General features: G+C 37.4%; 1 protein-coding gene, 2 non-coding genes and 1 pseudogene across 3 annotated transcripts in view, besides 1 other annotated feature; 3 read left to right on the top strand and 1 right to left on the bottom strand.

Annotated features, from left to right (window-relative positions):
- The window catches only part of ABCA6 (ATP binding cassette subfamily A member 6), a 63,194-nt gene that overhangs the window by 33,726 nt on the left and 3,724 nt on the right, over positions 1-25,744 (top strand). The window contains exons 18-36 of the mRNA NM_080284.3: positions 358-474; positions 1,959-2,142; positions 2,542-2,708; positions 5,202-5,335; positions 7,236-7,373; positions 10,143-10,250; positions 11,369-11,542; positions 11,817-11,930; positions 16,908-17,027; positions 18,628-18,705; positions 19,912-20,003; positions 20,697-20,817; positions 21,435-21,552; positions 22,454-22,545; positions 22,988-23,142; positions 23,663-23,738; positions 23,815-23,909; positions 24,839-24,958; positions 25,157-25,297. Coding sequence (NP_525023.2) covers positions 358-474; positions 1,959-2,142; positions 2,542-2,708; positions 5,202-5,335; positions 7,236-7,373; positions 10,143-10,250; positions 11,369-11,542; positions 11,817-11,930; positions 16,908-17,027; positions 18,628-18,705; positions 19,912-20,003; positions 20,697-20,817; positions 21,435-21,552; positions 22,454-22,545; positions 22,988-23,142; positions 23,663-23,738; positions 23,815-23,909; positions 24,839-24,958; positions 25,157-25,297 — 2,344 coding nt within the window. The remainder of the gene's footprint in view (positions 1-357; positions 475-1,958; positions 2,143-2,541; positions 2,709-5,201; positions 5,336-7,235; positions 7,374-10,142; positions 10,251-11,368; positions 11,543-11,816; positions 11,931-16,907; positions 17,028-18,627; positions 18,706-19,911; positions 20,004-20,696; positions 20,818-21,434; positions 21,553-22,453; positions 22,546-22,987; positions 23,143-23,662; positions 23,739-23,814; positions 23,910-24,838; positions 24,959-25,156; positions 25,298-25,744) is intronic.
- Positions 4,228-4,522: an enhancer, noted in NCBI's record as "tiled region #12590; K562 Activating DNase matched - State 5:Enh". NCBI's record gives its function as "activates a minimal TATA promoter and a strong SV40 promoter by Sharpr-MPRA in K562 cells {active_cell/tissue: K562}" and the evidence as "EXISTENCE:reporter gene assay evidence [ECO:0000049][PMID:27701403]".
- Positions 8,514-8,628, bottom strand: MIR4524B (microRNA 4524b). Its single transcript, NR_049834.1, has one exon. It is a non-coding gene; the product is annotated as a microRNA 4524b (primary transcript).
- Positions 8,538-8,606, top strand: MIR4524A (microRNA 4524a). Its single transcript, NR_039750.1, has one exon. It is a non-coding gene; the product is annotated as a microRNA 4524a (primary transcript).
- SEC24AP1 (SEC24 homolog A pseudogene 1) lies at positions 12,664-14,070 on the top strand (annotated as a pseudogene).

Genomic DNA, 25,744 nt, shown 5'->3' with positions numbered 1-25,744 from the left:
CTTATACAGAGAGAAGACCCAGAATATAGGTAGAGATATACGTGGGTTTGTAGTGTGGAGGTGAGAAGATAATGGTCTTTCTGATTGTTCAGATTTCTGCAGAGAAATCTGCAGGAAGCTCATAAACTGAGAATGGAAGATGAAGTGAGACAGTTTGAGGATGGAGGAAGAGGTCTTCCTTAGTCATTTCAGAGAAGGAGAGCATTCTCATGAAATTTTGCTTTTGACTACTGTGATACTCCAAGGACATAATTTTCTTAACAATATTATGTATTGTCTTTTAAATAAGTATTAATTTACTTGGTTTAGTTCTCAATGTGGTTTTCCAAAGTATCTATTCATATTTTTTTGCCTTAGATCTTTTCAGTGATCTGGATAAGTGTTCTGACCAGGGAGTGACAGGTTATGACATTTCCATGTCAACTCTAAATGAAGTCTTTATGAAACTGGAAGGACAGTCAACTATCGAACAAGGTAAAGCCATTTGTATAATTCACAGAAAACCAATTCCCAAATGATCATGTGTCAATTTAGTATTTATAATTTCTTATGGGTGATTCACACTAAGAAATGTGATTTCATTCCAAATTTGGCTCTGCTGTTTGAGATGGGCTGTCATTATTTCTTAGCGTCATTACTAAGACTGATCACAGATCCCTTCATGGCATCTACCAAGTTTCCTTTTGGAAACTATTTCCTATCCTCAGATGTTCCCTGCTTCTTAGATACCTTCAGGCTGTGAAAGGCTCTTAATTAGGGGAATGAGGTCTGAATATATTTTTTAAAAATAAAAATTGCTGTTAGCTTGTTAATATACAAAATTCCACTAAAGTCTTAGTGGGGAGAATTCTCAGTATCCACTCTTGTATATTTTAATGGGTGATAATAATCATTGTCATTATGGAGCTCCTCTTATGCCAGACACTTAGATTAATGTATGGCTATACATTGATATATATGCCTTCAACATTATCTTTCCTATAATAACCTTTCCAAGAAGTGTCATTGGCACTGGTTTACAAATGAGAAAATCAGACCTATGAGCAGTTAAGTGATTTTCCCCAATCACAGATGTAAGATACATGTACAGATCTGGTAGTTCAGAGCTGATGATCTTTCCCCTATACTACTAAATGATTGATACCTTAGTAGTAGATATTTAGGTGTAATGATTGGCTATTTTTATGCAGAAGATTTTTTAAAAATCCCTCAGAGGAATGATACTCTTGGGAATTTCTTTGCTTTTCAAAGATTGGGCACAATGAGATCACCATTTTTGTGAATTATTCTTTTGGTATGAATTCAGTGTATTTTCTCACTGAGTATAGAATATGGACATCATAACATGTTTCTTATATTGTTTGCACTGTAACCACAAGCAATCTAAAACTTTGTTTTATTTAAAATTTTAATTTTTTATCACCATTGGCAATTATAAAACTTCACTATAGAAAGAAAATATAGATGGCAGTGGTGAAGTATAAACAATAAATATTGAAAAATATTGTCTAAATAATTCCTTTGAATTGGTTATAAAAATAAAAACAAATGTAAAACTTTTTTTTTTTTTTTTTTTCGAGATGGAGTCTTGCTCTGTCTCCTAGGCTGGAGTGCAGTGGTGCAATCTCGGCTCACAGCAACCTCCCCCTCCCAGGTTCAAGCGATTCTCCTACCTCAGCCTCCTGAGGAGCTCAGATTACAGGCACCTGCCACCACGCCCAGCTAAGTTTTGTATTTTTAGTAGAGACAGGGTTTAGCCATGTTGGCCAGGTTGGTCTTGAAATCCTGACCTCAGGTGATCCACCCACCTTGGTCTCCCAGAGTACTGGGATTACAGGCATAAGCCACCATGCCTGGCCATGTAATACTATTTTTAATATTACTAAGGAAAATCTGTGATGCCTCCAGGATGGCATTAATATTATAATATGTGTGTTTGTGTATGTGTGTGTTTATAGATTTCGAACAAGTGGAGATGATAAGAGACTCAGAAAGCCTCAATGAAATGGAGCTGGCTCACTCTTCCTTCTCTGAAATGCAGACAGCTGTGAGTGACATGGGCCTCTGGAGAATGCAAGTCTTTGCCATGGCACGGCTCCGTTTCTTAAAGTTAAAACGTCAAACTAAAGTGTTATTGACCCTGTGAGTAGGAGAGTACTGTGGTTTTGTTAGATCATGAATTTCAAAAGAGGTTCAAACCAGAAGATAATTTAAAACTAGAACGCAATATCTGACATTCCTGCCACGGGGTGGATAAATTCAGCATTTAATTTTTCTGACAGTGGGAATACCTGTATGTTCACACTCGATTAAGCTTATACGTGCAGGTGTGTTTTGTTTTCATGGTTTGATAACCTGGTGTTTATATAGTAATGCCTTCTGGTACTGTGTAGCATGCTAGGGTATTATCTTCAGAATTTTAGCACCTAGAATCATGATTGGCATAAGGCAGGCTTGGCACTCAACAAATACTTGTGGAATGTCTTACTAAATAAATAAAATTCCTGGAGATTAATATGCTAATTTTTCTTTATTGTTTAGATTATTGGTATTTGGAATCGCAATATTCCCTTTGATTGTTGAAAATATAATGTATGCTATGTTAAATGAAAAGATCGATTGGGAATTTAAAAACGAATTGTATTTTCTCTCTCCTGGACAACTTCCCCAGGAACCCCGTACCAGCCTGTTGATCATCAATAACACAGGTGAAAAGAAAAATAAAATTTAAATCCAGAAATAAGTTATTTTTATTGTTGAATAGCACAGGAGGTGGGGGGGGGAAGTGAATCATAAGAGAAGAAAATGGGTATTTAAACTTCATTTATAGAAAACACCTTATGAGGAACAGTGCAGATTTACTCTGATTTTGGAGATGACAGGGATGATGAGGACAAGAGAAAAAGAACTTGGGTCACTGTATAACCTGGAAGAGTAAAGACGTCTCTCTACCTGACTACCCTAAGCTATTACATGGCAAATAAACTTCTATATTGGCACACCCGTTCTATTTTGAGATCCCTTTGTTACACAGCAGCCTAACCTATACCACAAAGGCAATACACACTGGTTACCATGTGAAGATGGCCTATCTATTCCCCATGCCCCTTCATTAAGTACAAGATACAGGAAGATGCCTTATTTTGTTATCCCAAACAATGGGTAATTGGTTTTGTTTTTGTTTTGTTTTGAGACAGAGTCTTGCTCTGTCACCCAGGCTGGAGTGCAGTGGTGTGATCTTGGTTCAATGCAACCTCCACCTCCCACGTTCAAGCGATTCTCCTGCCTCAGCCTCCCGAGTAGCTGGGATTACAGGCACGTGCCATCACGTCTGACTAATTTTTTTTTTTTTTTTGTATTTTTAGTAGAGATGGGGTTTTGCCATGTTGGCCAGGCTGTGTTGAACTCCTGGCCTCAAGTGATCTGCCCTCCTTGGCCTCCCAAAGTGCTGGGATTATAGGTGTGAGCCACTGCGCCCGGCCAGTAATTGTTTTTTTGTTTTTTTGTTTTTTTCCTAACCGCTTAATTAACTTTGAAGAAGGAACTTTTATGTTAGTACCTCAGATGTTAAAACAAACAAACAAACAAAGAAACAAAAAAAAAATCACAGTAAGAGTCTTCCCTTGCTGAGTTCCTCATTCATTTGATTTTCCCATGGATTTGCGATTCAGGCCTGCGGTGTATGCTCTTTAAACAAAGACAGTCTTTCCCTTTCCGTTTCTCATTCTTGTTTTCCATTTGGGTTTTGGAAAGTAAATTTTATTCACCTCACTACCTTAAATGCTAATTGTATGTTTAATTTCTGAGATCTAGAAAGGTTTCTTTACCTATGAGCTCATAAGATAAGTAAATTAGGTCTCTCTTTTCCTCTTTGGTCACTCTTGAGGGCAGTGGGCTTGTGTTAATATATTTATTTTGTCTCTGTACTTAGGTATTTTATGGTTTAAGTTTGAAGCTTCTGTGCCATTTTGTTCCTCTTTTCTCAAAATCTGCCAATTATTGGTAACACGTTTATCTTTTAATGTGAGCATCCCTGTCTGCCTAGGTGAATGTGGGTCACCATATGGCATTGCACCTCAAGTGACTGTGGAGGTGGAGTGGGGTGTGTGGCTGCTCAAGGTGCATGGAAAGCTTATTTTCTATGTGCATGTTCCTGTATCACTTGGTTGGGGGATCCTAATTCATCTAAGGTTTGGCCTTATTTTTCCAATCCCAGAGCCCACTATAAACTCCCATTTCAAAGGCAAAAAAAAAAAAAGTCCTTCTTTTCCTCTTATTCATTCCATCTTGCTCAAATTATTGTCTGCAGTTACTTCAGGTTTGCCCAGCTGTGCTCCTCAGATAAGGTCTCTCAGTAAGTAAATATGGGACTGTTACCCTGGGGACAACTGCGGCTACTGTGTGTTCTGTGTGGAACGTGGGGAGGGGCCTGACGGGTCATCTTTTCCCAGGTATACGTCACGACCCTGACTATAGCTTCAGAGCATACCTTACCCCCTTGCATTCATCCACTCTGAGTTCAGGTATCCTGGAAATTGGTTTTACCTTCAGCTGCTTGCTCTGGTGTGCTCTAGGCTGTGAATTTTTCTCAGCTCGTATTTCACGGTCAGACGTTCTCATCTGCTTTCTTCTTCAGGGTCATATCTAAAAGTTTGATCTGATGATGGCATCCTTTTTCATTTCCTAAGAAAGATTATATTTATACAACATACATGTATGGAATATGTACGTAAATGTTTAGAATAAAGTAAAACATATGTATGTGTTATACAGACACATATATATTTACTTGTCCATTATTTGGAAGAACAAGGAAGAGAGAAGAGTGTTATCATTGGCTGTTTTAGGCTGGACAATCTGAAGTACTCCTCATAAAATTATTGTATCTCCACAGATTATTCAATTCAAATGTTGTTGTTGTTGTTGTTTACCAAAAGTCATACAATAGAATTAGCTTATTTTTATGATTACATGTTAATTTGCATTAAACAGATTTATAAAGCTAATTCATTGTGGTATAAGATTTGCTAAATAGAAGATGGTACAGTGTGGGTCAATATTATTATTGTGATACCCAAAGAAAGACATTTATACATAGTATTCCATAAATATTAACTTTAATTATGTATATGACTTATTTTAAAAGTTTGATATGTATTTTCTTACTTTTCTATGGCCTTCTCTTATTAACTTCATATTAGAATCAAATATTGAAGATTTTATAAAATCACTGAAGCATCAAAATATACTTTTGGAAGTAGATGACTTTGAAAACAGAAATGGTACTGATGGCCTCTCATACAATGGAGCTATCATAGTTTCTGGTAAACAAAAGGTATGTTTGCCTTTTTGCTTTTATGAAAAAAACAAAAAGTACTACATTTTAGCTGTTTTAAAACTGCAGAAATTAAAGCTAGTATACAGAAACTTGACTCAGAAAAACATTCTGGGTTGTTATTTAATAAACTGTGAAGTTTACCTAAGTTTTTGTAAAACATTTTCTATCTTAGTTTTGTTTTGAATTAGATAACTTTTACATTTGAAAGGATCTAAATTTAATTGTACTGTTTAAACTCAATAAAAATATTATAGCTTATAATTATCAACCAATATAATTATGGATTTAAGGAATTTTATTCAGTAGCTAACTACCTGAATAAAGTTTGTTTTTATATATTGAGAAAATACATTAAATACTATAATATCTACACGAAATAACTGAGAAAAAAGTATTCTCAGTCTGCTACCTTAGCATATGTCGATTTGGGTAAAAGAGTCAAGCCATAGAGATTCATTAGAGAACAAGACTATTGAAAATACTTTTTTTGAGGCAGAGTCTTGCTGTGTTACCCAGGCTGGAGCTCAGTGGCAGTATCTTGGTTCACTACACCTCTGCCTCCCATGTTCCAGTGACTCCTGCCTCAGCCTCCAGAGTAGCTGGAATTACAAGCAGGCACCACCATGCCCAGCTAATTTTTGAATATTTGGTAGAGAGTGGGTTTCATCATGTTGGCCAGGCTGGTCTGGAACTCCTGACCTTGGGTGATCCTCCCGCCTTGGCCTCCCAAAATGCTGGGATTACAGGCATAAGCTACCGTGCTCGGTTTAAAAATACATCTTAATGTTAAGAACTCTTCAGTCTTATTTGCATTCTAATAAAAGCAAGGGGCCTAATTAAGTGAAGCTCCCTCTTTATTTCATGCTACAAAGTAAATTTTTAAAAAAGAAAAGCCTTTGAAGTTGTATTACTGAATTCCGTTCTACATAAACTAAATATGCTATAAAAAATGTAATCGCTTTGTGCCAGTTTTGGGAAATTACTTTGTCAGCTACTACGTTACATACCTCACATATTTACTACATGAACTAGTGGTAAGATTTAAACAATAAACCTTCTAATAGATTAATGAACATTTTCCTAAACATGAAGTACATAAATATAAAGATTGCTTTAGGAAGTGGGGAAATGCTTCTTTGGCAGGGTAAGGATGAATATTTAATGAACTCCATGCTTATCTCCTATCCAGAAGGCCAGCATTCCTTTGCTGCTGCTGCTGCTTTTTTTTTTTTTTTTGAGACAGAGTCTCGCTCTGTCACCCAGGCTGGAGTGCAGTGGTGTGATCGCAGCTCACTACAACCTCTGCCTTCTGAGTTTAAGTGATTCTTCTGCCTCAGCCTTCCAAGTAGCTGGGATTACAGATGTGTGCCACCACACCTGGCTAATTTTTGTATTTTTTAGTAAACATAGGGTTTTGCTATGTTGGCCAGGCTAGTCTCAAACTCCTAACCTCAAGTGATCTGCCCGCCTTGGCCTCCCAAAGTGCTAGAATTACAGGTGTGAGCCACCATGCCCAATCTTCCTTTGCTTCTTCATCATAAACTGACAGCATCTCCTTGTCAGGGAGACTTTTAAACTCTACTAAATGAAATTTCCCCATCAGCAAAATGGAGACAAAATTATCTAAAATTAGTAATACAAATAAAAATTCATATTGATTGTATGCTGACTCTGTGCTAGAGCTTAATGTACATGAATAGAGTGTCATTTAAGCCCTATAACAACCCATTTAGTATTTCCTTTTCATAGATGAGGAAGGTAAAGCTCAGAAAGTTTAGTTCACTTGAAGATGGACACACAACAAGCATGTGGCACTGTTAGGATCTTTTATACATAAACCTTGCCTTTGTTCTTTAAGAATTTAGCATTAACATTATTTATTTGTTTCTGTTTTAAGGATTATAGATTTTCAGTTGTGTGTAATACCAAGAGATTGCACTGTTTTCCAATTCTTATGAATATTATCAGCAATGGGCTACTTCAAATGTTTAATCACACACAACATATTCGAATTGAGTCAAGCCCATTTCCTCTTGTAAGTATTGGATTTACTGAGTCTAAACAATTAAGAATTGGACAAATAGCCTATGTTTTCTCTCTTTAGCTTTTAAATATCCATAAGTGATTGTTAAGCCTGAAAATTATTATTTTATCCTAATATTTTCAATGGGTTATAGCAAACAAAACAGGATTTTTTTTTCCTGCCAAGTTATCAGATAATTATCGTGAGGGAATACTTTTCAATATTTTGTCAGTCTTCTAGGCAATGTTTTGAAAAGTTGTACATACTTGATTGTGGAAGTGTATGAGAAAGAGAAACAGAAAAAAGAAAACACTGACTTGGAAATCAGGAGAACTTGTAACCCTGGTTACATATAAATCTATTATAATTAGTTAGTGGACCCTCCATTGACTAAATGTGTAGTAGACAGACTAATATGAAGGAGAATCTGCCAGTTCTGGGGCTATCTGTTGATTTATTTATTCACCTACTCATAGTTGCTCTATGTTGTGAGGGAGCCTAATACACACAGGCTGCATTGGATTCTGTGTCAGTTGGCTATAGTCTGGCTTCAGACAGTTTGGACACTAGAAAGCAGTGGTGGGAGACAGAAGAGCAGAGGACCCCCTACATTGGGCTCCAGTCACATCACCTCCTTCTGCTGTTCCTGAAGCCCAGAAGCAACAATAGCTTGCTTCTCACTTCACCATCTTTGTGGGATGCTCATCACCCACCTAACCATGTCATAAGGAATTGCACTCTAAGAACTTAACGTAGTCATGGTTTTCTGGTTAGACCCTGCCTGATACCAACAGGGGTGTCTCAAAGCTGACTCCAACTGTTTCACACCAGAAGTCTGAAACATCAAGAAGCAGGATTAGAAATGAAGCCATCCAAAGGGAAGTCCATTTTGTGACAAAAGTGTGAAGCTCAGTTTTGGCTTCACTGAATCAGTGGTGCTGGGAGTATATGCAAGCACAGGTTTTCTGTAAGCCATGGGAACAATGGGGATGAAATATACAGTACTTGAGATGTTCGTGACAGACACATACCTCCGTGAGTTGAGTATGACCGACTGATCACGTAAACAGGTCTGCTGCACAGGATGACTCGAGGGAAGGGGTGTCTGAAGGGAATTCTCCAGAAAGTGGAACCAGAGGAGTAGCAGAAAGAGACAGTGATTACCCTTCCTCTTTGGAACGATAGCAGCATGAACCTGTCTCACTGCAGAATTATTTTGAGACAGGCTTATGCTGCTATCCTTCAAAAGAACACATCCACCCAGCTACTGAGGTTTCCATCTCTGGGTTTGCTCAGAAAGACATGCTGCTCAGGCCTGAATTATGTGTTCATCAAAGGTCCTAACTTCTGAATTATTAGCTTCCTAATGCCATTGTGTTTGCTCAGGATCAAAATGGACTGAAGCCCATAGCTACTCTATTAGAAACCTGTTCCCCACTCCCACTTCCCCATGGCACACACCTTTCCTCCCTCATTCCTATGATGAAAAACAGAATTTATAGACATAGCCCTCAAAGTCTTAAATAAAGTTAAATAATTGTGGAATTATTTTGAGACAGGCTCATGCTGTTATCCTGTAATTATATCCATGAGGTGGTCCTAGATGCTGCTAGAGTGTCCACTTGGCCTAGCCTCAAGTGGATGCTGATTTGGGGGTAGTGATTTAAAGTTCCTTTCCCTGAAGTTAAGACAAGCAGCAACAAGTTTTCTTCTTGGTTCTGTGCTTCAGAACACATCCACCCAGCTACTGAGGTTTCCATCTCTGGGTTTGCTCAGAAAGACGTGCTACTCAGGCCTGAATTATATGTTCATCAGAGGTCCTAACTTCTGAATTATTGTTTTTTTGTTGTGGTAATAATACATGATATAAAATTGACCATTTTAGCTGTTTGCAAGTGTACAGTTGAGTAGTATTAAGTATATTCACATTGTTGTGAAATGCATCTCCAGAACTTTGCCGTCTTGCGGAATTGAAACTCGATGCCAATTAGCTTTCCCCCTCCCCCATCCCCTGGAAATAACCATCCTATTATGTTTCTATGAATATTACTAGTTTAGAAACCTTATATAAGTGGAATATTTGTCTTTTTGTAACTGGTTTATTTCACTTAGCATATTTTCCAGGTTCGTCTATGTTGTAGCATGTGACAGGATTTCCTTCTTTTTTTTTTTTTTTTTTTTTTGAGACCGAGTTTTGTTCTTGTTGCTCAGGCTGCAGTGCAATGGGGCGATCTCTGCTCACTGCAACCTCTGCCTCCCAGATTCAAGCGATTCTCCTGCCTCAGCCTCCCAAGTTGCTGGGATTACAGACATTTACCACCACACCTGGCTGATTTTGTATTTTTAGTAGAGATGGGGTTTCACCATGTTGGTCAGGCTGGTTCAGACTCCTGACCTCAAGTGATCCTTTTTAAGGTTGAATAGTATCCATTGTTTGTATATACATACACATTTTGTTAATCCATTAATTTGGACTTTTGGGTTGCTTCCACTTGTGAGTATTGTTGGTATGAATATGAATGTGAGGGTATCTCTTCGAGAGCTTGCTTTCAATTCTTTTGGAAATATCCCCAGAAGTAGGTCCTAAATGACTTTTGACTTCTCTTTGTTCTTTGAGTTGAAGATCAGAGTCACTTTCCCTCCCACCTTCGTGCCTAGATGGTAATGAGCTACACCTTTACTTTGATTTTTCAACATTTCAAAAAGTGCATTTTTGTGGCTATAATTATTTGTTTCATTTAACAAATATTCACTAGTTTAAGCTACCCTTTATATTTTCAGAGCCACATAGGACTCTGGACTGGGTTGCCGGATGGTTCCTTTTTCTTATTTTTGGTTCTATGTAGCATTTCTCCTTATATCACCATGGGCAGCATCAGTGATTACAAGGTAAGAAAAAGCAGGGAAAAGAAGAAATTTCAGGAATTTCAATATCTGTATTTTGAATGCTATGTGTTCAAAATGTTTTCTTCTGACAAAAACATTTGAATGTATGTTTAATTTAGATATTGTAGCTAAACCTTATTCTTGGCAAGTCAGATAATTTACTTCTAAAAACTCAAAATGCTTTTTATTCCAAAGTCACCTGAAAAGTACAGTGATTTTTCAGAGACTCCAATTAGTCTAAACCTTCAAAGGGAAATATTATAAATCTTTTGACCACATTATTTCCCAGCCACAAGAAGGAAATCATTGATGTTGAAATCAAAGGCCAAATTTAAGACTTGAATTCCTTTTCCACTCTGGAAATTGCAATTTTATGTTATATTTGTATTCGATTATGCCCATTATTCAGACAAAGCAGTTAAATCTATCAACGTTCACCATCCTGAGCCAGAAACTCTCCAAGATGTTTAGGTAAAGGTAAATGTATTATGTCCTCCAGGTCACAAAATAATACTTTTTTTTTTTTTTTTTTGAGATGGAGTCTCACTCTGTTGCCCAGGCTGGAGTGCAATGGTGCAAAATCGGTTCACTGCAAACTCCGCCTCCCGGGTTCAAGCAGTTCTTCTGCCTCAGCCTCCTGAGTAGATGGGATTACAGGCTTGCACCACCATGCCCAACTACTTTTTGTGTTTTTAGTCAAAATGGGCTTTCACCATGTTAGCCAGGATGGCCTCAATCCCCTGACCTTGTGATCCACCCGCCTTGGCCTCCCAAAGTGCTGGGATTACAGGCGTGAGCCACCATGCTGGCCAATACTTATTTTTATAGAGTTTAATGCCTTGAACATTATGAGGTCCACTTTTCATTATTCATGAGCTAAAGTTGTGTTATGAGTCAGGCCTATCACAGTATACATTTTATTTTTGATAGACACCTTGTAAACCATGGAACTGGCTCTATAAGCCTCATGTTACTAAGCAGTATATGCATAATTTTTTTTAATATTAGAAGATTAGATTATATTTATCTTAAAAATTCTTCCAATGTGTTTGTGTTTATTTTAGATTTGCATTTTAATTGAATCTATATACATTTCTTTCTTTCTTTTTTTTTTTAATCAGAAAAATGCTAAGTCCCAGCTATGGATTTCAGGCCTCTACACTTCTGCTTACTGGTGTGGGCAGGCACTAGTGGACGTCAGCTTCTTCATTTTAATTCTCCTTTTAATGTATTTAATTTTCTACATAGAAAACATGCAGTACCTTCTTATTACAAGCCAAATTGTGTTTGCTTTGGTAAGTAACACAGTACATAAACCAAATTTCATAAAGTAATTAATAATAAATTTTAACATTGTTATTTTAAGTAGTTAAGATGTTTTAATTCATATTTTGTAATAAACCAAAACAAAAAACATGCAAAGTGCATGTATGATAAATACTAATAGTTTCAGATACCAAAGATGTTTTATACTTATGCCAGGTTACTTGTTTTTTAAAAGTTGTAATCTAATTTTTCCCTCAGTAATATTTGATTTTTTGACTATGTTATTATTTCTTTTATGCTCAGGTTATAGTTACTCCTGGTTATGCAGCTTCTCTTGTCTTCTTCATATATATGATATCATTTATTTTTCGCAAAAGGAGAAAAAACAGTGGCCTTTGGTCATTTTACTTCTTTTTTGTAAGTATATAATACATACAAATAGAGAAATAGTGTTATTTTTTAAACTTCTAATGTAATCTTAAATACAGATGTCTGCCTTAAGACAGTAGGGAAAATTAATACTTCAAAATTACACCATAGAAAAGAGAGGGAAGTGTAACACTGTTACTGAATCAATAATATTTCTAAAGAAATCAGGTGCTACCCATTGAACAGAATTTATGGAGAATCTTACAGAAGACCTGACGTCTGAAACGTCCTGTTGAGTTTATGTCTCCAGAATACAGGGCTTCCTGCCAACACTAGAAAATTGGCTTCCTAACAGTTGACATTACAACCCATCTCTACAGTCTTCAAGAAGGTCTCTCTTAACCTTAGCTGCTAATAGTTTCAGATACTAAAGATGTTTTATACTTATGCCAGGTTACTTGTTAGTATAAAAGTAAAGAGCTTGTCCAAAATCATGGAAAACTTTGCTGGAAATGTTTGCTGAAATTCTAGAGACACCAGAGTGCCCTGAGTCCTACACTTCAGGCCTCCTTTAACTGATATCCTCAACTGGTGATTGAATGTCTGTCTGGAAAACAGCTCTCAACTCTTGGAATGGGAATCTTGAATCCATGAGAAGAACCCAACCAAAGATCATCTATAAGAAATGATATATTTAATATTAGGTTGGTGCAAGAGCAATTGCGTTTTTTTTGCTATTTAAAGTAATGTCAAAACCGCAATTACTTTTGCACCAACCTATACGACCCACTGACTTCTACAAGAAATTAGTCTGGGACTCTTTTGGCCAGCAGGTAGCTGTTGTTCCTTCTCAGTGGACAGCACTTGGGTTTGACTTCTCTGGGCTATATTTCTTTGTATTCAGCAAACAGTGTCTATAACTATATCTCTTACCACCATCAGCACAATCCAGTGGAAGTACAGAGGCTACAGAAAGAACATTAGGCTCACCTTACTCGGAAAAACTGGCTTTGAGGCAGCCATGAGGATCTGGTGCACAAAAGGTCTTTCCATTTATCCTTTCCATGGAGACTATTTTTTGTTCAGTCAACAGACTTACTGCCATTGTCCAGTGTAATCTCAGGTGCTAGATCAGATGTCTGTAGAAGAGAGTCTTACTGACACTTGGTTGGTTTCTTTTCAGTCAGCACTCTTGTATCTGTCTAGCAAAGGTGAACAAAGAATTCACATTCATTCTTAGTGTTTGCCAGTAGTTTTAGCTCTGAACGAAGTCTACCTTGGAGGTGATAGCCAAGAAATGTCAGGGTTATTGTCCAGCGTGGTTGCGCATGGGTCTGCTCCTGCCAGCCTGAGTGATGCTGCAGATGCCCTAGTGAGTGCCCCTCATAGATGCTTTTTCAGCAGCTTGTCCTTCAGTCCTAAGTAAACAGCATGCTGGAATCAAGCTTCCTTTTGTGGCTTTTGCCACTCCTTGTGTTGACCCTTATTACACAGAAATCATTCCAAACTGGAACAAATGCACATCTAGATGGACACATTTTTTGCTATGTGCCTCATGAAATAGTTGCCCCTGGCTTACCGTATACTCACAACTTATCCCAGTTTGTATAGAGCTGGAAATTTCTCAGACAAGAGAGCATTCAGCATCAGTGATAGAAACATACCTCAGCCCTTGCCTTTTAGCTTTTAGTGGAGAAGCTGAGCAGGTTTAATTTCCTCATGGCTGCAGGCTCCATAGTGATGCTTTGGGTTGGAAAACATTATAGACAAGATTTTCTCAGCCAAGTTCCAGGATTTCAAATCTGTGCATCAATTCCATAGACTGTGACAGAACTTCTAGAACTTAATAGGCCAGAATCTTCCAAAACAATAAGTTTCATCTCTAGGCTTAGAGAGCAGAAACCATTTTCCCATTGTGGAGTAAGGAGTGAGAGTCCAGTGAGAGGAACTTTCCTTCAAAAAATGGCAGAAGACAGAATCTGCATTATCATATTATGAATGCCCCTTGTATATACGGCAGCAAGTGAATAGATGAACAAAAGAAGAAATTTGACTTTGTTCTTTCTAAGGAAAGATGATAATGCAGAACCACTTCTTAGGCTTGTGAACTAACATGGTGATTAAGGTGTTCTCACTGTGATTTGAAAAAATTATCACAAATAAAAGATCACAGCAGAAAATCAGACATGACACTGAGAAACACTGTATTTTTAAAATCAAAACACATACACGTATGATTGCATGCCTTTTATCCTTTGCTGCCATTTATGCTTAAGTTGTTATGGATTCAAATAAGGCAAGACAATATTCCAGAGGCAAGGTACGTTTTGGAAAACAAAGACTGTTCAAAATATAAAAACAAAATTACACCGCAGTGTAATAGTAAAATATGTATTTATATATTTGTAATTTCTGATTGTTTTTCCTTTGCCCTTCTTATGCTTATCTATTTCAGTATATTTATTTATTTCATTTTTCTATCACTGAAAGGAATCTACATATTTCTAGAATGGTGGAATGTCAGACTTGAAAGAAATTCAAAATTGTCTAGTATGATTTACCAAATTTTATAGTGTTGCAGGAAATTAAGGAACTAGAGAGACCGATCGGGATACAGGAGAGCTTTTATTTTAGGTGTATATCGGCTCAGCAGACATGTGTCCTGAAAGTCTGAGCCCCTAACAAAGAAAGCGAGCAACTTTTAAGCATTTTGGGGCGGGAAAAACTTGAAGCAGGAAGCAGGTTTGCAGAAGTGAGAACAAAGGCTGTTTATCATTTATGCCATGACTTGCATCTTAGGAAAAATATGAGTTGCAATTTAACTTTCACTTACTTATCTTGTGACCTTGCAGCTGCACAGCAAGAAAAACAGGGACTTACAGAACTTACAGAATATGTGGGAAGTAGATATGGTTAATGTTTCTTGGGACAGTTAGTATTCTCTTTTAACTTTAACTTCGGCGGAGGTGGGGGTGCGCAACTTAAATTCTTTTCAGCCTTGGTTAATACAGCAATTCATTCTATGAGCTATTGTTATTTTTCTGTTACTATAATTTTCACTATTATTACTTATGCCATTATTCTGTTATTTTCTTAATTTCCTACTTCAATAGAGGAAAAAATTTAGTAACTTGCTCAGAAAAACACAAAAAGTAGTGACAGGCTCAGGAATAAACTTGAAGTCTCAGACCTTATGTCATTCCTCATGTTAAAAAATATGAGACAGTAGCATGGTTGGCAATACTGATTCAGAACTTGTGCTGATGAACACATCTTGATTTCAGTAGGCTAAAAAGTTTTAAAATTATACCTCTTCACAAAGACCTCAAGCAGTTTGCACTAAAATTTGCATTTGCATACAAATAACTTATAATTTATTTCTAAATATGTGTTGAAAATATATGTTGTGAGAATTTATCATTGTACAGCTAGTATCAACTTAAACGATGCTAGTCCTAGGACTAAGGCAATTTGTTTACTCCTCACAGGATCATATGTCAGAAGGTATAGTATGTTGATATTCAATGCAGTTGTCCTTTGGTGATCTGGGATCCATTTGGAAGGACAGTGTAGGCAATGTTTCTCCATCATTGAGTGAAGCCACAGTCAGTAGTTAATTTGTTTCTAGAGTCCAGTGGAATTCCATACCCCCAGGGTTGTGGTGCTTTACTGGTACCCTAGACCCCTGCCTGATAAGGAAGTATCTTTTCAGCCTATTATGCTGTGTGGTGGAGGTATAGTAGCACATCTTAGCACACGGAGTTCTGGAGTATCCTCTCACACTGTCAAAGTTTAGACTCCTCTCTTGTTCCAGTGGATGAGAAGAGAGGAAAGAAACTGTAGAAATATGGAGGTCTGGTAGAATAAGAGGAGTCAGCTAAGTGAACTGAAGGACTTAAGAGTGAACCCCAGATTTCTCATTTGTAAAGGGAGAGATAATAAAAGTACTACATTATGGAGTTGTGAGGATTAAATAATTCATGCTAGATTATTAAAACCTGGCATTTATGTAATATTCAGTGAATTTAGCAATTATGATTCTATTTTTATTATAATCAGTACATTAATAAGATCTGGGAAAGAAAGGGTAGTGCTCAATACATACTTGGCTGATCAATTGATTCTTAAAACAAACAAACAAAATTATCCTTATTCCTTCCCATTTGCCAGTAAAAAAAATTGTAAAATAAAATAAGTCCATCACAATAAAAATACACAATCTCAGAAAAGTCATTTGTTTGGAATGGGGAAGAAATGGAGCAGGAAGGACAATGAGAAAGCTCCACAGTAGTCTGGTTGAGAGACAGTATGGATTGTTTGGTTTTTTTTTATAATAGCCATGTAACTTTCAACATATACAGGTTTTTATTCATTAGCAATATTGTTACCTTAGCCATAAAAAGGTAATCCCTCTATCCTCTTGTCTTGGATTAAATTTAATAATACACGTCAAGAAGTCTATTTGGGGCCGGGCGCGGTGGCTCACGCCTGTAATCCCAGCACTTTGGGAGGCCGAGGCGGGCGGATCACGAGGTCAGGAGATCGAGACCATCCCGGCTAAAACGGTGAAACCCCGTCTCTACTAAAAATACAAAAAATTAGCCGGGCGTAGTGGCGGGCGCCTGTAGTCCCAGCTACTCGGGAGGCTGAGGCAGGAGAATGGCGTGAACCCGGGAGGCGGAGCTTGCAGTGAGCCGAGATCCCGCCACTGCACTCCAGCCTGGGCGACAGAGCGAGACTCCGTCTCAAAAAAAAAAAAAAAAAGAAGTCTATTTGGTCATTTTAGCTTTCACCTTAGTCGCCAGTCTTTATTAAGAATTTTCTATTGGGGATCATAATGTATTCTTGTTAACAAAAGCTTCTTCCCTATTGTCTCTAAAAGGAGAAACTATCATTGTCAAATGGGTATATCTGCATATGGGAACATTATGATATACATCATGAGAACACCTGCATCTTAAATGTTTTACAAAATATCAATGGGTTGAGTATGTCTGATACAATATATTTGAACTTGCCTTGTAGGCCTCCACCATCATGTTTTCCATCACTTTAATCAATCATTTTGACCTAAGTATATTGATTACCACCATGGTATTGGTTCCTTCATATACCTTGCTTGGATTTAAAACTTTTTTGGAAGTGGTAAGAAATGTTACCAACTGTGTCATTAATTTTGAATATGTAGCTTATTAAAGTGCTTTTCCCAGATCAAGAGAGACAGAAAGTAGTGGAACTGGGGAGTAACAGCAAATGGGCATAAGAGATTTTGGGGGGATGATGAAAATGTTCAAAAGGGGAATCGTGGTGATGCTTGCACAACTCTGTAAGCTTACTAAACATCCTTGAGTTCTACTCTTAAAATGAGTGAATTTTATCAGATGCAAAATTAAATCTCAATAAAACATTTAAACTTTTGTCCTATTCACTTTGCAAAATATAGGCATTGTCAAATGCCATTCAAATATGGGTAATGCCAGATTGGGGGAAAAATGTGCTTGGTTTGACAGGTAATTTGTTAGCCGCTGAGGATAAACTCATATGCGATTCCATTCAATCATTCAAAAATATATATCAAATACTATTCTCTGTTAGTCACTGTGCTAGTAACTGGGGACACCTGATGAGCAAGATAGCACAGTCCTGACTTTCCCAAAGCTTAGTGGAGGCAAAGGCAGACCAAACTTACTCAAGTTAATACAAGAAACTTAAATGTTACAAAGGACAAGGGCAAAGGGCCAAGGGAGGACACACAAGGCACAGCTGGTGTGTTCTAGCGAGTCAGACAATTCTTCTGGGGACGTTATATTTAAATACATGGCTAAAGGATGAATAATAATTAGTTAATGGGACAGGAGGTAAGCATGTTCTGCAGAGGAAAGCAAAGGCCTTGAAGCAGGAAAAGCCAGGAGGCATTAAAGAAACTGAATGTGGTTCAAGTGGAGAAAAGTATACGATGAGGCCAGGGCAAGAAAGTTAAGTGGAGAACACACTTTTTGGAGCTCTGTACCACTCTGGATGAAATGGCTTTAAGGAAAGTAAAGAGGGCTTCTGTAATCAGGGGTGTCCTTGGCGAACTGGAAAAGCCTTCCATTTGCAAAAATACATCTCCATTGGCTGAGCAATGCCTGAAGTTCTCGATTAGAAACTAATCCCTTTGCTTAAAGCATTTTCCTCCTAAGTAGACCTGCAAGGTGAAATACATTCATCTTGATCTGTCATGTATTATATAGGAGGAATGAGTAACTTTCTGAATGAACTGATTGATGAAGAAAGAATAACGTGCTGGAACTAATTATCATTATGGGAAAATAGTCACCATTGGGATAAGAAGGGGCTCTGAAAAGGCTTGTCTGTGGCACTTAAGAAAAATATTGTCAACCCCCAGAAATTTTACCAGTGCCAGCACCTCTCTCTGCTATGCTTTCAGTAATAGCATATTACTGTTTCAGTAATAACATATGCTTCAGTAATAACATATGCTTTCTGCAAATGTTAAAACCAAATTTTTTTAAACAAAGAATTGAAGAGAGGAACAGACATAGGTTACTTGCTTATTGAGAGACAGTAAGAGTTGAGTAGGAGGTTCTCTTTTCTGTGGGGAATTACTTTGTCACTAGTGCACACAAAGAAATTGAGATCTATGAGGAAAATATTCAATATGTGAATTTTATATTATTTAAGTGCAAATCATAAAGCAGATGAATTATCATTAGTGTGTGTGTGTTTTGTTTTGTCTTTTCAGAGAGACCAGGAGCACTACAGAGAATTTCCAGAGGCAAATTTTGAATTGAGTGCCACTGATTTTCTAGTCTGCTTCATAGTAAGAAGGGCTTTCCACCTCAGCACACATTCTTTTGGATGACTGTCATTCACTATAACAATTTGATCTTGTCCAAAGTGTGCCATTTTGAAAGTGTTTTTATATGATCTTAGATAAAGCACTTACCTTCAGACATGTTTCTAAACCTTAGAGTTACTTTTTACATGCTTGGATTGGCTATATGTGTCCAAAAGTTAATATTAAATTAATTTTTTGTTTGCTTATCCTGTTTACTGTCCCTCCTCTAAATTTGAGAGAGCTTGTAAAAAATAGAGATGCAATATAACTTACTTCCTTTGAATAATAGATTAAAAAGGCAAGAACTGAATAATAAAAGTGAAAGGGAAAATGATTATTTTGGTGTATTTAGGCTGAAGGGAACTACTGTCTTTGAATCCTATGTGTCAGTACTTTTCTAGGTACAGGAGAAAATAAAGACAGCGGTCCCTGCCCTCATGGAGCTTATATTCTGGTGGAAGGACATGGATAATAAACTAAATGGATAATATGTGTGGTGTCAGATGGGTGGTCAGGAAAGGCTTCGAGAAGAGCACTTCAGTAGGAAGTGGCAAGAGTGACCCCGGCTCAATCCAGGGTCAGCCAGGCCAGTGTGGTTGTGACTGAATGACCAAGGAAGAGAGTGATAAGAAAGATGGCCACAGAAGTCATGGGATAAAGCGAGAGGTCAGGAGAAAGGGTCACACAGGGTAATCTAGATTACTCTAAAGGCTTTGACTCTACTCTGAGTGATGGAGGAGGAGTCATTGGAGGGTTTTAAGCACAGTGATAAGTTCAGGCTTATGTATTAAAAAAGTAGCTCAGGATACTGTATTGAGAACAGATGTTTAGAACAAGAGGGGCAGAGATAGCCCAAGTAGGAAGGGGTTGCAACAATCCAGGTGAGACATTATAATGACCTAGGCCTGGGTGGGAGTATCATGAGTAGGGGTGAGAAATAATTGGGTTATGGATAATTTTGAAGATAGAGTAGATAGAATTTACTTACAAACTGAATATGGGTGGCGAGAAGAAAGGAAACAGGTTTCACTAACCTGGATTGTGAATGTATAGCTACATTTCTCCCCCAGCTTATGAGAATGATCCACAACTATTTACCCAAAGACAAAACACCACCAACTTAATTCAAATATTTAAATAATATTTGTGAACTTATGCCTAAATATAACTGTATTTCTTTGCTCATAGCCCTACTTTCAGACTTTGCTATTCGTTTTTGTTCTAAGATGCATGGAACTAAAATGTGGAAAGAAAAGAATGCGAAAAGATCCTGTTTTCAGGTTGGGGTGAAATTTAACTTTATACTTAATATCATATTTTAACATTCCTAGATGGTGTCTGTGCTATCATCTTGTTAATACAGATTTACATTTACAGTGGAAGCACATGTTGATTGTCATTAGGGAATGTGGATTGCTGCCTTACTGCCAAGAGATAGAACTCCCAGGCAGAGTTCTGGCTGTAAGCAGCTGTAAGAAACCTTCACTCCATCCAAAATTTAATAAGGACCCAAATATGCCATTCTCTCGTCTGAGATAATTGTGCATCCTTGAAAAGAAAAGATGGGAAGGAATCGATTTAGCAACATAGTTGAGTGTTTTAAAAATGGAGGGCTGTAGAAAGGGTGAGCAGTAAATGATGTTGAAAAAACATCTGGTGTGATGAAGATGAGCTCAGACTGAGTAGAGAAAATGAGAGTGACATGAATTTTAAAGAGAAAGGAGCAGTACCTGCTGACAGATTTGAAAGGGTCAAAGATTCTTACCAGAAGAATGGCAACAACATTAAGAAAAGGATTCTGGCTAGTGGGACAGGAGTTCTTGGCAAAAGCAGAAGCAATATTGACAGTCATCATCACATCATCACCTGCACATTAGAGAAGAGGACAGTAGTAAAATCACAGGAATGCTGATTTTTGACACATCTTTTAACAGCTAGAATACCACATGTAACACATTTCATTTTCTCCATAGAATTTCCCCCCAAAGTAGAGATGCTAAGCCAAATCCAGAAGAACCCATAGATGAAGATGAAGATATTCAAACAGAAAGAATAAGAACAGCCACTGCTCTGACCACTTCAATCTTAGATGAGGTAAAAAAGCAAGGGGCAAAATGGATATTAATGGAGATATTCAAGAACTGTCAAGAGCAGGATTTGATACACTGGGTTTCATTTTGAGAGTTTGGAGTTTGGTGCATTTCTGTATTATGCGTCCAGGACACTCCAAAGAAGTATCTGCATAATCAAGGCACTCCGCTTATTCAGAGTGTCCTAGAAGCTAAAAAGAACACAAAACCTAATGGTTTTAATTTTTCTTTTGAGAAAAGTGGGCTTTCATAATTAGGGCTATAATTGCAAAACCAACAAGACCTCATGAGTTAAATAATTTAAGTTAGATTTGTCGAAGAATGCGAAGAATGCTAAATAGAGATTAAGATTTTAAGGTTTACTCTATTTGACTTAGATGTGATGGTTCCATGAGGTTAGCCACCCCTCTTCTGGCAAGACAATAAGCTGCTTCCATGAAACTCAGTCTATTTAGAAGCAAGAAATATTTTCTACATTAATGAATGCATATTACATTTAGCAGCATGAATTACTCTCAACTCAAAATATGGTTTGGCTTATGACATAAGGCATGAAAGGTTCCAGCAGAGACCTAAAGTCTCTGAAATTTAAGAGGAAAATCATGCTGTCATCTCTTCTAGAAACCTGTTATAATTGCCAGCTGTCTACACAAAGAATATGCAGGCCAGAAGAAAAGTTGCTTTTCAAAGAGGAAGAAGAAAATAGCAGCAAGAAATATCTCTTTCTGTGTTCAAGAAGGTCTGTAATAATCCCTTTTAAAACTTACCATTACTTTTAGAACTACCTACCGAACATCTATGTCATAGGCACAGTTTTACTCGCTGAAGCATTCATTCATTTATTCTATATATATATATATATATATATATTTAGTGTGCCAGGGAGTGTTTTAGACTCTGGAAATACAATTATGAAGCCACTAGACAAAGAGCATCCAGGTAGAGGAAACAGTGAGGGCAGGGACTCAGACACATTTGGAAACGTTGTGTCTCTAGCCAAGAGGCCAGTGAATGCATCCATAAATGGAAGGGATAAAGCTATAGAGCTGAGCAGCGCCAGATTAGGTACAGCTTTTGAAAACAGCAATGAGTTTGTGTTTTATACAAGTTAGCATAATACCATTGGAGAGTTTTTAGCGGACTTGTGTCATATTTAATTTATATTTTGAAAAGATTACAGATTGGCTATTGTTTGTTTGTCAGTTTGGGTTGGGGGGGACAAGTTCAGAGGCTTTTATATCAGTTGGGATGAAAGATGATGGTAACTTGGACAGAGGTGGTTGAATTTGGGATGAAGAAAATATCCCTAACTTCTCAAGTTTGAGAATCATTCATACATGTACTCAGTGCATCGGCCATCTATTACGGAAAACAGTTGGACACATTTCCAACTGAAACAAGTAATCTGGGGGGAAAAGGACAGATGTATTGACATCAAATTCATTAGCTTTGCAGTAACATTTGGCATAATTACAGAAAATAAAGAACATGCTTTGGTGACGTGGATTACATATATGTTATCAATCTCAAAATGGTACTAACTGAAGGGTGCAGAAATCTCAGAAGATTTCACTGGAGCAAAAGGTTTATGTTGTTCAGTATTTCACTTCCAATATTGATAGTCTGATTCTTTCTTTCAGGTGAAATTTTGGGATTGCTAGGACCCAATGGTGCTGGAAAAAGTTCATCTATTAGAATGATATCTGGGATCACAAAGCCAACTGCTGGAGAGGTAGTGAGGAAATGGTTTCCATTTCCAAAACAGGAATTTCATGATACGTATAGATTATATCTTTGTAAGACTATACTATTTTTCTTTTCTTTTTTTTTTTTTTTTGCCTTTGGATAAATTTTATTTTTCCCCTCTTTAAATTTTTACTGGGCATCAGGTGTTTATAACAGGACTTGGAATCTTACCAGAAACCAATTACCTTTTACTCATCAGTTTCTCAAGAACTACCTGAGCTTATTAGGTCTCTTTTCTTCTCTGCATGTAAAACTATATTTTTATATTTGTACTTTAAATCATTTTCTGTAATAAATATATGAAGTAATTTCTATAGTATTTATTTGATGCTTAAACAATTTAGACGCTTATATATGTCAGTTTCTGGAGTAATTACGCTATTGGAATAAAGGCTGCATGCCTTTCTAAAGCTCTTTTATTTTTTTAGGTGGAACTGAAAGGCTGCAGTTCAGTTTTGGGCCACCTGGGGTACTGCCCTCAAGAGAACGTGCTGTGGCCCATGCTGACGTTGAGGGAACACCTGGAGGTGTATGCTGCCGTCAAGGGGCTCAGGAAAGCGGACGCGAGGCTCGCCATCGCAAGGTACAGACGGGACCTGCGATTCCTTTGTGTCAGAATGCAGGGAGACTGTAGCACTGATGATGAATTCACTAATAAAGAACCGAGAGTCAATATGCTATCTCCACCTTTCCAGAGTGTCAGTGGCAGAGCAGGGATGAGGGACAAGACCTGACTTCCTGCATCCCTGAATGAGAGATCTTTAAAAAATGATTATATAAAATAATTGACAAGGAATAAGTGAACGAATCACCATGAATCGTCATCCATTTCAGTTTTCTAATTTAAAAAACCTGGAAATGAAATAATCATCCATTGTCAGTTTCTCATTCAGAATTCTAGTTTTTCCTAAAACTGTTTATGAGGCAAAAAAAAAAAAAAGTCTTTCATGTTCCAAAATAAACCAATCTCTTTTTTAAAATTATGAGTTAGGATTTTGACAATAATATTACTAAACTTCCCTCTAATGCTGTTACTGTTCTGTGTGCTTGGATTTTCCAAAAACCTTGTCTTGACCAGATATTCTCATTCTGTTTTCTGTCAGATTAGTGAGTGCTTTCAAACTGCATGAGCAGCTGAATGTTCCTGTGCAGAAATTAACAGCAGGAATCACGAGAAAGGTACGTGCGGTGTGTGATGCTCTATGGAGAGCTGGTGTGGTATGGCAGCAAACAGGGGTGTTTTTCTACATTGCAGTTGTGTTTTGTGCTGAGCCTCCTGGGAAACTCACCTGTCTTGCTCCTGGATGAACCATCTACGGGCATAGACCCCACAGGGCAGCAGCAAATGTGGTGAGCATCATTATACCCCAGAGCTGCGAGCATGCACATTAGGGAAGGTTGCATATTTTAACTGGTCTTGGAAAATCAGCCCTCAAACCCACTAGTTCCTGATTCAGTGGAAATAATTTATATTATCAGGAAAACAAATATTTAACCAGTAGATGATCTAATCTGCATGATGTTCACGTGGTATTCAGGTTAAAAAGACCCAACATTTTCTTGGGGTTTTAGGTTTTTAATGTGGACTGTTAAAATACAAAAATATTTTGCCTTTTAATTATTGAGATGTCTATAACTGTTTCTTCTTTTTTCCCTTCTACTTTGTTTCCTGGGAGACTATTAACTTCCTGACACAATTTTCCTGTTTGTTTTTTTTCCTTTTTAATGTGACCTGTCAAATTTGTTCCTCCAGTTTTTCTCGGGTTTATTCTTTTACTTACTTTTCCCATCTAGGATTTACCCTTTGGAATAATAAAATCTTCAATCTAGTTTCATATTGGTCACTGTCCGATACTTTTCCAACTTTAACAAAAACTTTGTTATGGTAATTTTATACAAATGTAGAGAATCGCTTATGAATCCATTATTCCCATGGACAAGTTTCAGCAGGTATCAATAGAACCAATCTCCTTTGATCTATATCTCCACCCACTTCCTTTCTCCACCCTCCAATTATTTTGAAGGAAATACAAAGCAACATATTCTTTAATTTATAAATATTTCAGTTAGTATCTTCAGAAGATAACTCAACTACAATATGATTAGCACATCTAAAAATACTTAAAAATGTTATTTATGTTATCAAAAACCTAGTCAGTACTTACATTGCACTATTTTTTTGCATTAGGATCTGAATATGATTCATATATTGTATTTTATCTTTTTTTTCTTCTGCACTTAGTTATTTTAAATACTGTTAATTTTTTTGCTCACTGCAGGCAGGCAATCCAGGCAGTCGTTAAAAACACAGAGAGAGGTGTCCTCCTGACCACCCATAACCTGGCTGAGGCGGAAGCCTTGTGTGACCGTGTGGCCATCATGGTGTCTGGAAGGCTTAGGTGGGTGTCTCTCCGAAGCCTGCATTTGATGCTCAAAATGAGATTTCCCATGGAAAGGGCAAAAATCCCTGTGTGTGGCTGGAGCCCTTCCGTTTGGCTTCCTTGGTGACACCTTTTCTTCTACATTTGAAATTTAAGAATAACATTAAAAAATTAAGGGCAATATTTTTTCCAACATATTCTCTTTCTTGCCCATAGATGCATTGGCTCCATCCAACACCTGAAAAACAAACTTGGCAAGGATTACATTCTAGAGCTAAAAGTGAAGGAAACGTCTCAAGTGACTTTGGTCCACACTGAGATTCTGAAGCTTTTCCCACAGGCTGCAGGGCAGGAAAGGTGAGACGGGCTTTTGATTATGGAGAAATATGGAGGGTTTATCCACTCAGTGGTTTCCTTTTTGCTGTGTGAGAACTTCATAGTGATTTGGCTTCATAATAAAAGTTAGGGACCTCAGAAAAGGATTTGTTCAGTATTCCAGATTATAAGAGATTGAGACCTACCCAGGAAGCTGTGTCCCCTGGGGCAGACCAGGCACACTCTCCTTGGCCATCCCAGGCTGATCCCCAGCTCCAGAGGGGTACTTGGAAAGACTTGGGAGAAGGAACTTCTAATGACTCAAACCCACACAGGACCACAATGGTGTCCTTCCTGGGCCTCCTCATAAACGCTTAACATATATAAATATTTAAAATTTAAAAGATGTAAATATTTAGGGTGAATTTTCCCCATAGGAAACAAATGGCAATTGAGATAATCAAAGAGTCTTTCTTTAATGGAATTTTC

This window comes from Homo sapiens, chromosome 17 (genome assembly GCF_000001405.40).
Source record: "Homo sapiens chromosome 17, GRCh38.p14 Primary Assembly".
Lineage (NCBI taxonomy): Eukaryota > Metazoa > Chordata > Mammalia > Primates > Hominidae > Homo > Homo sapiens.
This window is presented reverse-complemented; position numbering and strand designations above follow the sequence as displayed.